Source organism: Homo sapiens, chromosome 11 (genome assembly GCF_000001405.40).
Source record: "Homo sapiens chromosome 11, GRCh38.p14 Primary Assembly".
NCBI lineage: Eukaryota > Metazoa > Chordata > Mammalia > Primates > Hominidae > Homo > Homo sapiens.
The window spans coordinates 128,893,462-128,909,983 of record NC_000011.10 but is presented as its reverse complement, the minus strand read 5'-3'; the positions used below and the strand labels follow the sequence as shown (position 1 = coordinate 128,909,983).

Here is a 16,522-nt window from a genome sequence, read left to right as displayed (position 1 = left end):
GGTTTATCTGGCTGCAGCCCAAAGGCTGACCCACAGCACTCACCACACAACGGCCAGCAGACACTGATGCTCCGGGGCTCATGCTAAGGCTGATGACCTGCTCCCTTCAGAAAGTTCTATGAGCTTCTGGCCCTGGGAAACATCACCTTAGGGATACTATCTTTCAACCCTTCTTCCTCTTTATAAGTAAGTCTTCCTTGAATTCGCAGTTACCCTCCCTCCCGGGTATAGGGTCCCCCAGGAACCCCCACTTACTTATCTGTCCTGATCGAGAAACACAGAATGCCTAGACTGCTCTGTCACTTGGCCAGCTGCATGTCTTTTCCTGCAGGCCTGAGCCCTGGAAACATTCCCTGGCACTGAAACCCTGTTTAGGTTGTTACCTGAAATACTGAAAGATTAAACATGTTGCTAAACATGTAGGAATTAGCCCAACCTTGGGCCAAATAACTCCATAACCCAGAGCCCTTGCCGCAGACATACTTAAGCGGAGCACCTCTTTTCTTGCTGTCTGTCATGAGGACCAGTGCAGCGCTCTACATGTAAGTTCCCCTAATAAGTGCTTTGGAACTTGGTGATTTCTTCTTTGGAATCTCAACTGACCCCATTTGGGGATGGTTTGGGCAGTCCCTTGCAGGAATTCCCCTGCCACCATTCTGAGGGTGACTCCAGCTGCAGGTTCCACCAGGCAGAACACCGGGAAGCTGTGTCCCCAGTAGAACAACCTGGAAAAAGGCCTGTCAACCACTGAGCTGACTGCCTAATGGCAAACCAAGGTAGATCCCAGCTGTCCTGGGGAGTCAGATGACCCTGGCAGGCCTTTTCCTGTGCTGCCTGGGTGATTATAGCAATTTCAAGATAACCTTTAAAACATCATATCAAAAGGTCATCTGAAGGGCTTTGTCCCAGATGTCCATTGGCCATTTCCCATTCTGCATAGGGCCACCTGCTTCCTGCTCCTTCATGTGGCAGTTAACAAGGATAAATGAGACAAGGAGGAAAATGCTTGGGGCTATCTTTGCAGAATCCCAAGCAGGAATTTGCTCTGCCTTAAGTGGGAGACTTCATCCTGAAAACTCAATCACAGATGCTCAGAGATGATGGAAAATGCTGCTGTCCCGAGGCCCCGTGTATTCTGGACACCCCAGCTGTTGGAACCAAGATAGGCTTCCAATGGGGGTGCCGCTGCGGACTCCCTGAGCCACTGAGGTTGGGCAGGGCAGGCACAGTGCCACAAGAATGAGTCATTGGCCGGGGCACATGGGAGCTCACATCCTCCTGTACTCAGCTCTTTGGGGAAACAGCTTGCTGCTGATTTTCTGCACTGTTTCCTTCTTTATTTTTAAACATACTTGCATACATTCTTGTAGGCGAAGGCTTTGTGCCGTACTAGAAACGGGAAAATGTTTTCTAGGAGACTTCAGCCCAGATAGGAAAACTTTTTGCGTCTGGCAGATAGGAAAGGGTGGTTTACTTTTGATTTGATATTGGGACGCATTCCTGTGCGCTGGAATCATCCGCAGAAGTCATCCCTTGCTCAACCCAGGGTAACATCTGGATTCTGACTCAGTGTCCAACAAACCAGCTTTGTGGTCCAAATACAAACAAACTTAACTTTCTTTGCCTCAGTTTACTCTGCTATAAATCCCAGATAATATCCTCTGCTCCTCCAGCCCTGGGAGCCAATTGTAGGGATTCATGGAAAGAATACATGATACAAACATAAGTATAAATAAAATAAACATACGTATTCATAATCTCTCCTCAAATTGAAATTTAATGCAATATCCCATTAACCCCATTTTAAAGATGAAGAAAGAGAGGTAGAGATTATCTAAGACAAATAGCTAAAGGCCCAGTGGGCAATTTGCAGGGCAAGCATTGAGCTGACCAGCATGCAGCCTCTACTGTTTAGATTTCTTTTAAGGGTAAGTAAAATCCCCATCCTTGAAACCCTGGCTTCCAGTGTTGTGTGCCTATCAAGTCAAAAGGATTTTCAGGGACAATGGAGATGAAATTCTTTAATCAGGTTTTCGAGATCCGTTCTATTAATTATGCACTCATTAAGCACACATTAATTGAGGAACTACTATAGCCAAACCCCTGTGCTAGGAGCTGGACATAAAGCAGTGAAGAAGATAAACGCAGAGCCAGCCCTCCCATAGTTGATATTCTAGCATTTCCTCTTTGAAGCTAGGGTTTTTGCAGAACTGTCTGTAGAGGACAGACAGGGAGGAATGCTGTGGCTGGCCTAGGTAAGCTGAGCATCCTAGCTACTCTCTGCAGGACGCAGGGAAAGGCACTGACTTGAGCAAATCCTATTAAGCCTCATCAAGCCTGATACTTCTCTTCTTCCATCCTCTCCTGTGTCTGTGAATGGGAAGCTGTGTTGAGACATGATGAAAGCTTTTGGAAAAGACAGAGCTTCAAGTCCAGCAAAGTGGTTTAATCCCTTTGATAGGAAAACACAAGTGGAGAAAGACTCAAAAGAGGCAAAATCAAAGGAAGTTGTATTTCAGATGATGCGTTAGTGAATGTGACATCCATTTAGATGGACCTCTGAATGAAGAATGTCAAACATCACGCACCCACAGGGAGGAAAACTTGGTGTCATGGCGTGGTCTAGAATGTCAGGAGTCAGGGCCCTAACAACTTGGTAAGAGCCTTGCTTGGGGGTCAGCAGGGCTTCCTGGAGAGACCACTGGCTTGGGAGTCTTTTCACAGACTCAGTCTCCCTATCTGTGATCACAAGCATCTTTATCAATTTCCTACTTTCTAAGATATGCTGGATCAAAATGTACCACTCTCTGAGCTTTGAAACACGGGATGAAGTTGGAGGAAGAGGAATGGAGGAGGGCGTGCTTATGTCTCATATGGAGATATTTGTATACTCTTCTGTGGGAATATATATGACTGTACTCATAGGAAAATGCTCCAAACTGGTTGGTGAACAGGCTGCCCCAGTCCCCTCAAGGCCCTTTAGGGTTAGCAGGAAGCATTCGAGGTGTTACACTTGAATGTAACACCAGAATACATGCTGGGGACAGAGAAGGCACTTGTAAGTAGGCAGAATTCCAACACACCCTCGTGATTCCTGCCCCCTGGTATACACCCCCTGAGGAACCCCAGGAAATCCTCACTCCCATGACTGGGGCATGTCATATGGCAGAGCTGAACTGAAGAAAGAAAGTTCATCTGGGGTGAGCTTGACCCAATCACAAGCCCTTTGAAGGGATTGGGCTTTTCCCGAAGTAAGAGATTCAAATTATTAGAGGAATTAGACAGAGGGGGCTTCTCCTTTGCTGGTTTTAAAGATGGAGGGGGCCACACGGCAAGGAATGTGGGTGACCTCTGGGAGCTGAGAGCAGCCCCCAGATGATAGCCAGCAAAAAAGTGAGGACCTCAGTCCTACAACCACAAAGACCTGAATTCTGCCAGAACCACAGGAGCTTGAAGGGGGCCCTGAGTTCCACATGAGAATGCTGGCCTCGCTGACACCCTGGTTTTGGCCTTGTGGGAACAGAGCAGAGGACACAGTCGCATCAAGCCTGGACTTCTGACCTACAGAACTGTGAGCTGATAAGTGGGTGCTGTTTCCAGCCACTATGTCTGTGGTCATCTGTTATGGCAGAAATAGAAAATCCAGTACAGAAAGGGAAGTCGGATCATAAACAGTTAGGAAGGCTGACTCTGGCATCAGATGACCTAGGTTCCTATTTTGCCTGGAGCTGAGGCACATTTGGAAAAGTTACTTCTCTAAGCTTCCGTTGCTTTATTTGCAAAATGGGGATAACAGTACTCACCAAAAAGAGCTGCTGCGAAGATGAAATGAAAGGTGTGTGTACAGTGCCTGGTTTACAGGAGCCCTCCTGAGAGGTAGCTCTTAGGATTTTCCACCAGGGGGCAGGGCTGGGAAAGGGGCTGGAGGGGTGGGGGTGAGGGGCAGGAGTGCTTCAAACGCCTTGAGGATAAGGAAGGAGAATCAGCAAGTCCCGAGTTCCTACGGTGTGTCAGCATCGTGCTCCCACTCCCGGGAGAGAGGCATTATCTTCAGTTTACAAAAGGGGAAAACAGGTGAGAGTTTAAAAACCTCGCCCGGAATCGCACGGCTAGTGCTGCAGGCTCCCCGGATTCCGCAGCAGCTGCTCTAGATGAGGGCATGCCTAGAGGCTCTGCTCCGCTGCAGCGTCTACGAGACCGGGAACCCGTGCCCCTTTCCTCCCCCCGCCCCGCCCCCCCAGAAGCCACGCCTGAGGAATTTTCTAAGACCTTTCCCTTTCGTCCCTCCCACGCCTAAGGTCCAGGTCCCAGGGCTTTCCCTTGCACCTTCATCCCTGGCCCTGCAGAGGCCTGCTTCTCGCTTCCGGGGTCGCCAGAGCGCCCCTCCCGCCACCCCGCCATCTCTTGGCCGGATCGTGCGAGAGAAGGGGAGGAGGTTGGGACGGGGGAGGGTGGCTGCGACAGGGGAGGGGAGCCTGGGAGAGGTGGGGAGGGAGGCTGGGACGGGGGAGCCCCAGCGCGGCAGGAACCGGGAGCCCTGAGCGCCACAACGTCTAGCGTGGCCTCGGAGGGTGACACAGGGGAGACCCCTCACCCCGCAGGGGACGAAGCCCCCAGTGCGGCTGGATAAGGCGGTGCTCGACGCCTGGGTGTGGCCCCCTGGCCAGCTGCAGCTCTGCGGCTGCGGAGGAGGCGGGGCTGGGGGATGCGGGGTGGGAGGGTGAGAGCCAGGAGGGGCCTGCGGAGGGGAGACAGAGGCCCTGTCCCCAGGGAACGGGCGTGGGGAGGCCGTTGGCAGTGCCGGGGACTCCCCGCCAGCGGGTCTCTCTTCCTGGAGGAAGGGCGGGCCAGCGGCCCCAGCCACCCAGAGACTGTGCCCAAGCCACACCGGTGGACAGGATCCTCCCAGGGGCCAGTCCTGGTTTCCCAGCTTTTCACAATTACCAACCTTAAAACAAAACAAAATTATCCTCTAGTGTACTCGGAGGTTTAATGGCACAGAGCCCGGTGGTAATAAATCTTTAAAAACCCGTCAGGTATTTCATTTAAAAACCGCACCATTTTGCAGCTATTTGTTCTATCAACTTAGGTCTGTGTCTATTTTTGAATTTCTGAACGTTTTACGGGTTTGCTTTTTGAGCCTGTTTGTTTCATAGCACATGATGGAGTAGGTGTGAAATCCCAGTGGAAGCTGACACAGGGCTTCACTCACTCAGTCAATTAGTCAGCGAACCCCCACTCAACACCCACTGGGTGTTTGAATTATGTTGAGCTCTGGGGATAGAAGGAGGTCGACTCACACTTCACTGGCATTCGTTCCTGTGCTTTCCCTTCCTGGGGATCTGGCTAAAATGCGGGTTCTGATTCTGTAGGTCTGGGGTTTCCAGAGTCCGCGGTTTTGCTAAGAAGCCGCAGTGATGTTGACGCGGCTGGTCCTCAGTGCACACCTGAGTAGCACGACCTCTCCGCCCTGGACGCACGCTGCCATCAGCTGGGAGCTGGACAACGTGCTGATGCCTAGTCCCAGAATCTGGCCCCAGGTGACTCCAACAGGTAATGAGATTGACGACCCTTGATGCGTTCTCTGTCCGCAAGGAGTTCCTGGTCTGGTGGGGAGTACACAGGCAAAAAAAATCAGTGCAGTAGAGAGTGAGAGAGAGGCCAGGGTGCAGTCCTGAATTTGGCTTGTCTGGGGTGGGCGAGGAAGAGTCAGGAAGGCCCTGGTGAGGAAGGCGTCCAGTGAGCAGGGTGAGGTGGCAGAGCCTTGTGGGCCTGAGAACAGGGGAGCAAACAGTAATAATAGCTCCAGCATGGAATCCCTGTTCTGTGCCATCTTTGTGCTGAGTGTTTTTCATGCATTGTATCATTTAATCCTGAAACAGATCTATTAAGTCCGTTTTAGTCGCCTCATTTTACAGGTCACAAAAGCAGAGTGATGTGGTAGCTTGCTTCAGGCCACACAGTTACTAAGCAGCGGGCTAGGTTTTGTCTGATTCCAAAGGCTCTAAGTGCAGCCACCGCTGCCTGGGAGGTTGGTTCCTCCTGAGCCCTCTGGGTGTGATGGGGTTGTTCTGAGTCCCGGGGGGAGCACCAGGGAAGGAACTCATGATTTCCTGCCATGTGGTCCGCTGTGCACAAGCTGCCCGGCAGCTCGGGTCACTTCCCGCCAGCCAGGGCTGTGTTCTCCCTCTCCCTCCTGCTCCCCTCCAGCATGCTCCCTACTCATCTAACAGCTGCTCCTCGGTGTTTCTAAGCACAATACTTGCCCCCAGAGGTCCCTGATTGCTCCCAGGAAATAAGATGTCCATGCATCCCAGGTAACACCTGTCATTCTGGCATCATCACCAAGAGTGCCCCGTCACTCTCTGAAGGTCTGCTTGGACAACGGCCCCCGCAGTAGAAACAAGACCACTAACTAGCAGCCACTGATTTCATTCTTAACACCCCTTCACTGGATTCTCCTTCATCTAAGGCAGGTCTGCCTCTGTCAGGAGTGAGGGTAACACCTCCTCACTCTGGAATTTCTCAGCTGGGCAGGATGTGCATGCCATAGTAACCAGAACCTGTGAGTCTGTGCTGAGCTCTGCCGTCTACACCCACGGCTGTGGCTGTGTGAGGTGAGTGCAGCTGCCGGATCGCGTTCTTCCAACACAGACACACTCTACATCCTTCTTGGTCACGTGCAATTAGTAGGCTTTCTCCTATTTTTATTTAAATGGGATGTCTTAGAGCTTCATTTTCATATTTTGATGTAGAGAAACATTTAAAATGTTGCATTCTCTTTATTTTAGGAAAAGCACATATACAAACCCATGATAAATGCAACCAAAACTTGCCCTGGGTTTGGGGGACATGGTAGGGGGTGGTGGGGACTGTGGTGAGCTGTACACACACGCAGTTCTAAAGCGGCAGCTGCTACTCGGCTCTAGTTCATTATTGCCTTGCCATGCCGTGGAGCCAGTACTGCAAGATCCTCCCTTTGCTTTTTCCAGAAAAGCCAGAAATTAAACTTTTGAAGATGAAATTTTTTTTCCATGTTGACCACTAATTCAACAATTTTTGAAAAAGTGAGCAAGCCATAGAGAATCTATGTGTGAGTCAGATTCAGTCTGTCAGCTGCCGGTTCGTATTTCTGGGCTAGGGAGTCGGAGAGAGGCCTTTTCTGCCCATGGACATGTTGGGCTGCGTTGTGAGTTAGGCTGAGAGTGCTGTTAAGAGTTGTGGTAGTGCCACTGAATTCCTCTCACAGCCTCCCTGTTTGCACCAACAGGTCTGCCACAAACATTACCTGTCAGTCCTCAGGACAACAAAGGCAGGCGGCCCGGCAGGAAGAGGAGAACTCAATCTGCAAGGCCCATGATAGTAGAGAGGGCCGCCTGGGCTACCCCCTCAGTGCCCATCAGCCTGGTTCCGGTGGTCCTAACTAGCCCTGTCTCCTTGCCAATAGCCCTGTGCTCCCCAGCCCCCTCCCCCATGCAGACGGCTGCTATGACATCCCTGTTCCTTAAAGTGCGGGGTTCCTCGCTGCCTTCTCCTCCCTAACTGGCACCCTGTGCAAACCTGCTGCAGAGAACAGTGTCTTGGGCAGTGCGATAGTCCTCCAGTTCACCAACAGTAAAAATGGTCTCAATGGGGAGAGATGTCTGACTGCAAGCGCTGAGTCCTTCCAGAGGAGGGCTGGAGGGACAGGAGGGCGGATCAGGTGGCCTCCTGAGCTGGTTCCTGGCGCCGATGTAATGGATGCTGATTACCAGCGGTGAGGGCATCGTGGAAGGGACTGCAGAGGTGTGCGAGATGAGTGGAATGAGGCCCCAGGTGCTGATTTTTATGCCCAGGATGCTCCTGGCTGTCATGGGCTCCCAGGGGCTCCAGGCATGCACAGCTCTTCCGCCTCTTCTCGAAGCAGAATGCCCCAGAAAGGGCACCTTTACTATCCAGGGTGGCTAGAGTCGCCGGTGGCTGTGCGTGGGGGCTGAGGGCTAGAATCAGGGCAAGGGGCTTTCAGTGAAACGCAGAGCCAGGCAGGGACAGCGCGGATCTCAGAACAGTCTTTGTCAGATGGGACACTTCATCCCCGCGGAGCTGTCCGTGCACACAGCGTTCTCTGATTGCCAAGCTGTTAAGCACTCTGCGGAAGGGAGCTGCTGGGAAGGCGGACGAGGCATCTCAGGTGGGTGAGGGGCTCCGCTGCATCAGCGTTGCTCAGACCCACCATCCCTGGGGAGCTGTCACTGACGCCCAGGTTTCCCCTTCTCAGTACATCCTGTGCCTCCTTTCTGGGCTGCCTCAGTCCCTCAAAGGGGAGCTCCCCACATGGGTGGGATTATTGTTGAGAACAGTCAGGGTGTTGACGAGGATGCAGGACTGAGGTTGCTCCCAGAGTCACTCAGTGTCCCTCGTTTTGCTCGGAGACATCCTGACCTGGGCAAGCTCTTTAGGGAGCATCTTTCCTGTCTGTGCCGCATTCTCCATGGCCTTTGCACTCTTTTTGCTTTTGTTTTAAACACGTCATCAATTCATTGCCTGCAGCAGCTTGTACTGCCTTTTGGTTTTTCTTTGCAGAACAGCTCTGGAAGTGAAGTGTGTGTGTGTGTGTTTGCGTGCACTACTCTGGACTGGGTGCCTTACACGTGTTAACACACTTGATCAGCTCAGCAACACTGTGGAATAAGTGTAATGTGTCCATTATTCAGATCAGGAGACTGAGATTCAGAGCAGGGAGGGAACTTGCCAGAGACCACATGGCTTGCAAGCAGCAGAACCTGGGTTTGAACTGACAGCGGCCTGACTTCAGAACCCACGCTTTCCCACCCTCCTACTTCACACCCATTTGAGTCCAGCCATCTTGGTTCTGAATCATAACCCTGACTCTCCTGGCCACATCCTATGCTCCACATTACATGTTACTCTACAGGTTACCACCCTGGGTCTCTTTCCTATATAAGAAATAGAAATATTTGTGGAAATCCTAATGTTCATGACATCTCTGCCATTTTATCAGGAAAAATTCTATCCTACCAAATACTGGTATAATGTACTTGGCCCCCCTGGATTGGATTGGTATAGGTTAAGAGCAGATATAAGGTCTGAAATAATCCCGGTATTCCTAGTATGTGGAATTATTATCATGGAATCATAATGGCAGTTTGCACCTCTGTTGGGCTCTTTCAACTCCTGTGTTGGCTCAGGAGAATCCTATCACATTAGTCCCCTTTTGTAGTTGGATAGTTGGGCTTGCCAGAAGGCACACAAATTTGGGTTAACTCATTTCCAGGATTCTGGCATTGTAGACACAGAAACACCGACTGTGAAGTTTTATGTAATACAAACACTGGGAGATTTAGCAATAGGCCTGCCAGGCGGCCCTGGCTTCTGGCTGCACAACAAAGGGGGGTGGCTGGTGCTGAATGGGGCAACAGAAGGTGAGTTTGGGGCCTGCAGAGCCTCGGGTAGCCCAGAGGAGCGAGAGAGTATTGGCTGTTCATTTTAACTCCATCCTTGGAGGATTCCCCACCACAAGCCTAAGGAAGTAATAAAACCTCATGCATTATTTTTTGATATCTGGAGAGAAACACGTACCCTAGAAATGCTGTGGACTAATTCCATGGTTACTTTGTCATTAAAGAAACCAAAATACTGAGAGGTCACCATAAACACAAAAAGGCAGAGAGAGAAGGATTAAATGGTGTTTCATGTAAGGATCTTTAAAGGGAGACAGAATTCTAGTCTGAAAGGAGCGCAGGCAGATCTGGCATTTTGCTTGGGGAGTTCAATTCTTTGGAGAAAATACAGAGACAAAAAGACCATTTTGATGGTATTTAAAATATCCCTCTGCCCAGTGTATCTAAGTGAGTCTAAATATATTCAGCAATTTTTTAAAGGGCAGATATTAGGCCCGATTCAAGGTATGGAATATAGATTCGAAAGGGTTAGTGATAGGTGAGTGCCTTTCAGGTAGCTTTGCATCACAGACCAAGCCCATTATTGAGGACTGTACGTATGGAGCAGGCCCGTGAGCTTGTGACTGAGTTTCCCAACCTGCCAGGCTCCCATTTGCTTAGGATGAATATTTTTCTGCCCTCCCTGGTGAGCCACTGTGGGCCACTCGCCACTCCTTACACCCCTTCCCTTTAATACCTCGCTTGGCTTACTTGCAAAATCCACATGCATCCTCCTGGATCTCACAGAAGATGTATGAAAAGTCATGGCCATGAAAAGGGCACGGAAATCAAATTAATTAATTTTGCTTTTTCCCCACGTTTGTTTCTGTCTGTCTGGTACTTTTCCTTTTTAAGCCTGCCATCTCTTTGAAAGTGAGCCGCACAGTGATAATCCATTTTCTTCATTGTAACCCCACAGTGTATGTATTCCACATTAAATAATAAAAGGGATTAATAATTAAATCAAAATGAAAAACCACTTGTTTCCTGTCTATAACCCAAGGGACAGATTTCCTGGGCTGGTGCCAATTTATCAGTGATGATTAGGGAAGATGAGGTAGAAGTGCACAGAGACAACAGCCTGAAAGCAAGATAATGTGAGTTTGAATATATTCATATACAAGTGAAAAGGATGAGATGGTGAGGGATGGTAAATGTGAGAAAGAGCCACAGAAACTGGACATAACAGGTAAAATCCCAGTAATTATCGTCACCTACTGGGGCTGTACCATATACCCAATTTTATTCCAAATGCTTTACATGTATAAACTCATTTAATCATTTCAGAAAAGGTACCAGGTAGATACTGTTCTCCCCATTTTATAGATGAGAAAACTGAGGTGCAGGAGGGTGAGTCAACTGCCCCAAATCTAGTAAGTGGTTGATCTGGAGTTGAACCCAGGCTGAGTGGCCCTTGACTCACACTCAGTGTCTGAGCAACTCCACAAAAATGGAATGCTTAAATGATTCAAGAAAGAGGAGATAGACAAATATCATGGGGTAAGAAATGAAACAGAAAAATCCATTGAGAATAAGAGAAAAACAAAGTGAAAGAAATAGGAAAGGCCAGGCACGGCGGCTCACGCCTGTAATCCCAGAACTGTGGGAGGCCAAGGCAGGCGGATTACCTGGGGTCAGGAGTTCGAGAACAGCGTAGCGAACATGGTGAAACTCCATCTCTACTAAAAATACAAAAAAAATGAGCTGGGCGTGGTGGTGAGTTCCTGTAGTCCCAGCTATTCGGGAGGCTAAGGTATGAGAATCGCAGACAGCAGAGGTTGGCAGTGAGCCGAGATTGCGCCACTGAACTCCAGCCTGGGTGACAGAGTGAGACTCTGTCTAAAAAAAAGAAAGAAAGAAAGAAATAGAAAAATCAGAGTAAGGAGTTGAGAATGAAAGAAGGATTTAAAAAAGCAAAGGACAAAAAGGAAAGACAAAGTGAAGTGTAAGTGGATGTGGGCATTAGAACGAAAGCTGAGGAGGAGGAAACAAAGAACAGATGAGAGACCCAGCTGAAGGGAACTGCATCTTGGCGCTTGCCATGGGGCACTGCTCATGCGCTAACTTATTTGACTTTCCCATGGCATTTCAAGGTAGGTGTTATTAGACACATTTTACAGAAAGAGAACTGAAGGTCTGAAAGACTAATGTCCAAGGCGACACAATTAGTTCATGGCAGAGCAAAAAGAACTGCTGACAATTACAAAATGCCAAAGAAAGAAACTGAAGAATAGCAAATAAATGGAGAAACATACTGTATTCATGGATTGGAAGACTCAATATAGTAAAAACGTTGATTCTCTCTGAATTCATATACAGATTCAATGCAATTTCTATCAAAATCTCACAAGATTTTTTATAGATATAGATAAAATTATTCTAAAACTTATGTGAAAAGGGAAAGCAACTAGAATAGATAAAACAATTTTGGAAAAGAATAAAGTGGAAGGAATCAGTCTACACAAGTTCAAGACTCATTACATAACTGCAGTTATGAGGAAACTCCAGACTATGTGGTATTGGCAGAAGGATAGACACATAGATTGATGGAACAGAACAGAGAACCCAAAAATAGACCTTTGCAAATATGCCCAACTTATTTTTGACAAAAGTGCAAAAGGAATTCAGTGGAGGAAAGACAGCCTTTACAACAAATGGTGCCGGAGCAATTGCACATTTTTAGGCAAAAAAAAGAACCTTGACCTAAGTCTCAGACTTTATACCAAAGTTAATTCAAAATGGATCATGAACTTAAATATAAAACAATAAAACTTTCTAGAGAAAAACATGGGAGACACTCTTCAAGATCTAGGGCAGGCAAAGAGTTCTTAGACTTGACAAGAAAAGCACAATCCATAAGAAGACAAACTGATCAATTAAACTTCCATCAAATTAAAAACACTTGCTCTGAAAAAGACTCTGTTAAGATGAAAAGGCAAAATTACAAAGTAGGAGAAAATATTTGTAAATTACATATCTGACTGACAAAGGACTGGTATCTAAAATATATACTTAAAAATTCTCAAAACTCAACAGAAACAACAACAAAAGCCAATCAAATTAGAAAATGGGCAAAAGACATGAGAAGACATTTTGCTAAGGAGGATATATGGGGGGCAAATAAGCATATAAAAAGATGGTCAACAGGCCAGGCGTGGTGGCTCATGCTTGTAATCCCAGCATTTTGGGAGGCCGAGGTGGGCAGATCACCTGAAGTCAGGAGTTCGAGACCAGCCTGGCAAACATGGTGAAACCTTGTCTCTACTAAAAATACAAAAATTAGCCAGGCATGGTGGCACGCACCTGTAGTCCCAGTTACTTGGGAGGCTGAGGCCGGAGAATCACTTGAACTCAGGAGGCGGAGGTTGCAGTGAGCCGAGATTGCACCACTGCACTCCAGCCTAAGTGACAGAGTAAGACTCTGTCTCAAAAAAAAAAAAAAAAAAAAAAGTGGTAAACGGTATTAGTAATCAGGGAAATGCAAAATGAAACCCAATAAGATAGCACTAGAATGGCTAAAATAAGAAATAGTGACAATAACAAATGTTGGCAAAGATGCAGAGAAACTGGATCACTGATACAGTGTTGGTGGGAGTGTAAAGTGGCATAGTCACAATGGAAAACAGCTGGACAGTTCTTCGAAAAAAAATAAAAAAAACTAAACATACAACTACCAGATGACCCATCAATTACACTTCTGGGCATTTATCCCAGAGACATGAAAACCTGTATACCTATGTTCACACAAGAACCAGTACACAAATGCTTATAGCAACTTTATTCATAATAGTCCCAAAGTGAAAACATCCCAGATGTCATTCAGTAAGTGAATGGTTAAACAAGCAATGGTACCTTCCCACTATGGACGATTCCCACTGTGGTACATTCCCGCTACTCAGCAATAAAAAAACCACACACACACACACACACACACACCCCCAACAAGCACACATGCACACTCCTAAATGAATCCCCAGAGAATTTTGTTGAGTGAAAAAAGCCAATCCCAAAAGATTACATACTGTATAATTCTACTTACATAACATTCTTGAGATGACAAACACAGACCAGTGGTTGCCAGAGGTTAAGGAGAGGGTGGGGTGGGATGGAAGTGGGTGTGGCTATAATAGGGCCACATAAGAGGTCCTCCTGGTGATGGAAATGTTGTTTTCTTATTGGCTATGTATTCGTTTTGATAGTGTACTACAGTTTTGCAAAATATTACCGCTGAGAGAAACTGGATGAAGGGAATGGCAGATCTCTGTTCATTATTTCTGAAACTGCATGTGAATCTATAATGATCTCAAAATCAAAGCATTTAGTGGAAAAATAAAGAATGACTGCAGCAGACAAAGAGATTGAGTTAAAGAAGCATAAATACACTAAACGGCATTTATGATCAAGAGAATGAGTGAAAAAAGACAAAAATGGAGGGGAAAAAAAGAACCAAACTGAGAAAGAGAGAGAGGGAGAGGAAGAGAAAGGAAATAAAATGTGACCAAGCGTGAGTGTCTAGGAGGAGTCAGGGGAGATTGAAAGAGATGCAGGAGAGGTGGTTGGGGCTGGGGGCAGGTGCCCTGGGACAGCCGCAGGCCCAGGCCTCCCTCCTACTGCCCTGTGTCTGGCCTTGGCTCCCTCCTTTCCAAACCCCTCCCTGGGCTCCTTCTACCCCTTCACCAGCAAACCTGTTTCTCAAGCCCCCTTAGAAGCCTTCCCTGCTCCATAAGAGCAGCCTGCCTTCGCCCCGGCGATGCCTGTGCCTCTCCCTAAGGGCGCGCAGCACGGATGCTGGAGTCTCTCCAGCAGCTCTGCCCGCCCCCAGGCAGTGGTCTGAGAGCTCAGAGGGCAGGCAGGCCCGGTGTGGAAGATCCCCCTGTCTAGCTCAGGTGCCTACACAAGGTCTGGCCTGTGTTAGGAGCTCCCTACTCATTTTTGAGGGAGTTCTTCTGGAGAAGGACACTTCACAAAGCAACCTGACTTGGCCGGGGAAGCCTTCATACTGTGATGTCCAGTGGGCTGGTTCCTGGGGCCTGACACCCATGGCTTCTGCTGGCACTGCTGGACAGCCCCCTTGCTGAAGCAGAAGCAGCACCTCCCACTGCCCAGGGTTCCAGGCACCAAGTGCTCAGCAGTGCAGTCATCCCTGGGGTTGGGGGGGGGGTGGGGGCACACTCTAAGGGGAAGACACAGGTTTGGTCCCAGGAGGCATCTGAGGTCCTCTTGGTTCTTGCACTGCACCCCACTCCCATTTTCCTTTCTGAGCAGCAGGAAATAATGTAGGATGATGGCATTGGACCTCCCTGACTGTAAAGTCGGGTGCCTGAAATCTGGGAGAAGGTGTAGGGTGAGCAGTACACCCAGCCCCGGACCGCCAAGTCACAGGGGATGAGAATGAGACTCCAAGTTTGCTCTCTCCTTCCCTCCCCAACCCCTCCATTTCTCCCCCACCCTCACCCTTTCCTGTCCCCCATACTATCTGGCCACCCTATTGATTGATCCCTGGTGACCAGGAAGTGCCGTTGCCACCTGCCAACTGTTCAGATGATCCATGACCTTTGCCCTCAGCTTGCTCTGGCCTGGAACGATAATGGAAGTTAACATTTTAAGCACTAGCCAGGATCTCCAGGGTCACATATTAAAGCTTTGGCTCTACCATTTAACTTAGCACGGCTCTTGGCAAGGGTTCCCGCCATCCTGGGCCCTGTTGACTAGAATAGCTCCCTTATCAGAATGTCAAGGTAGGAGGAACTAGATAAGCTGCTGCTGCACAGGCAGGGCCTTCAGAGGCAGCCGCTCACGCCAGCCCTGGCTGGCAGAATGTCAGAAGTGGAAGCTGTCCACTCTGTTTTAAAACAATTCCAGGGAAAGCCACTTCACAAGTCTTTTTGAGAAATACACTCAGGTATTCTTACTCAAATACCTCACTACAATCTTTTGAACTGGAACTCCCATTCTTCTTGTTTTTTTCTTTAGAAAATAAAAACAAAACACAGAAAGATTCCTTCGTGGCTGACGACTATCTTAACAGTTATCTGATGACAGATCCGCACTTGGAAACACTGCCAGCCCTCAATGACCTGTCTATAGCTCATACACAGTGAACATTTTCATCCAAAAATGGCCCCTTTGAACTACCTATGGATTCCCTGACCCCTGCCTTCTCTCCACCATCCTTCCACCTCCAGCCTAAATAGTCAATCAGTATTGGCTCAGAAAATGTGAGTGTTTGCTAACATTCTCCTAAACAAAAAGCATAACGCTGCCCCAACGATCACATTCCAAGGTTTTCAAAAATTAATGATTGCTGGCACATGATAGGTGACCAAATGAATGGTTGTTGAACAAGAAAAAAAAAAAAAACAATGCAGAAGTGGATGCAGTTTTCAAGTACATGAAAGCACAGGACACCTGTTTGTGGCTTCGCCCACCGCAGGCAGGAAGAATCAGGTCATTTGAAGGGGAAATGGAAACCAGAGAATGGGCATTCTAGTCGTTTCTTCCCTCCTTGGGGGTTTACTTCATCACGGATGACTAGAGCAGCCTTCAGAGTCTCCCAAATTCCTGGACAAGAAACCCAGTCAGGTGCTTGCAGAAAGCCCCAAAGGGATTTTGCTTGGCACCAGGGACAGCGAGGCTGAGTACTGCTGTGACAGGGCCACACACGTGTCTCTGCTGGACCCACAGACAAAGAGCTCTGCACTGCTCAGGACTTGCCAGCAGACTCCAGGGAAGCCATGGTGGGGAACCCCACTAAGATCTGACTTCATCCCAGAGAAGACAGCTAAGCTTTGGGGACAGCCCTGGGCAGAGTGAATGTGGCCCAGGTTCGCTTTGACCCCCCCCCTCACCCTTGGCTCCTCCTTTAGCTGAACTGCTCACTGGATAGAGCACAGGCAGGCTACTTAAAAAATGCTGCCTGTGAGTAATGCCGGCAGTTTATAGCAGCTTTTGGAGAGGCCAGAAAACAGCCATGCCTGAGTGGCTGGTTCCCTTTCTGTTGGAGAGCTAGGTAGTAGGTCTAGAACGTTGTTCTGGGGACAATCCTTGTGCTTTGTGGAATGTATAGGCAAATTTTCTATCCT

At 48.3% G+C, this 16,522-nt stretch overlaps 1 protein-coding gene and 1 long non-coding RNA gene across 7 annotated transcripts in view, besides 2 other annotated features; one reads left to right on the top strand and one right to left on the bottom strand.

Annotated features, from left to right (window-relative positions):
* Positions 1 to 16,522, bottom strand: part of KCNJ5 (potassium inwardly rectifying channel subfamily J member 5) — a 29,808-nt gene that overhangs the window by 11,180 nt on the left and 2,106 nt on the right. The window contains exon 2 of one of the 3 annotated variants that reach the window (NM_001354169.2): positions 44 to 132. The exons of 1 other annotated variant lie outside the window; for it this stretch is intronic. The gene's annotated coding sequence lies outside the window, so the exon portion shown is untranslated. Of the gene's footprint in view, positions 1 to 43; positions 133 to 3,803; positions 4,647 to 16,522 lie in introns of those variants that run through there. One more of the 3 variants, XM_011542810.4, reaches the window with a different exon arrangement.
* Positions 3,753 to 10,419, top strand: KCNJ5-AS1 (KCNJ5 antisense RNA 1). 4 transcript variants are annotated; one of them, NR_045767.1, is made up of 4 exons: positions 3,753 to 3,835; positions 5,373 to 5,553; positions 6,473 to 6,617; positions 7,271 to 10,419. It is a non-coding gene; the product is annotated as a KCNJ5 antisense RNA 1 (long non-coding RNA). The 4 variants fall into 4 exon arrangements; NR_169217.1 differs by lacking the exon at positions 3,753 to 3,835 and adding an exon at positions 3,955 to 4,074 and having other exon boundaries at positions 6,530 to 6,617; NR_169215.1 differs by lacking the exon at positions 3,753 to 3,835 and adding an exon at positions 3,955 to 4,074.
* Positions 4,819 to 4,888: a silencer, noted in NCBI's record as "silent region_4065". NCBI's record gives its function as "represses an Ori minimal core promoter by ATAC-STARR-seq in GM12878 lymphoblastoid cells {active_cell/tissue: GM12878}" and the evidence as "EXISTENCE:reporter gene assay evidence [ECO:0000049][PMID:35858748]".
* Positions 7,596 to 8,354: an enhancer, noted in NCBI's record as "NANOG-H3K4me1 hESC enhancer chr11:128771525-128772283 (GRCh37/hg19 assembly coordinates)". NCBI's record gives its function as "activates a minimal SCP1, AML or CMV promoter by ChIP-STARR-seq in naive H9 embryonic stem cells {active_cell/tissue: H9 hESC(naive)}" and the evidence as "EXISTENCE:reporter gene assay evidence [ECO:0000049][PMID:30033119]".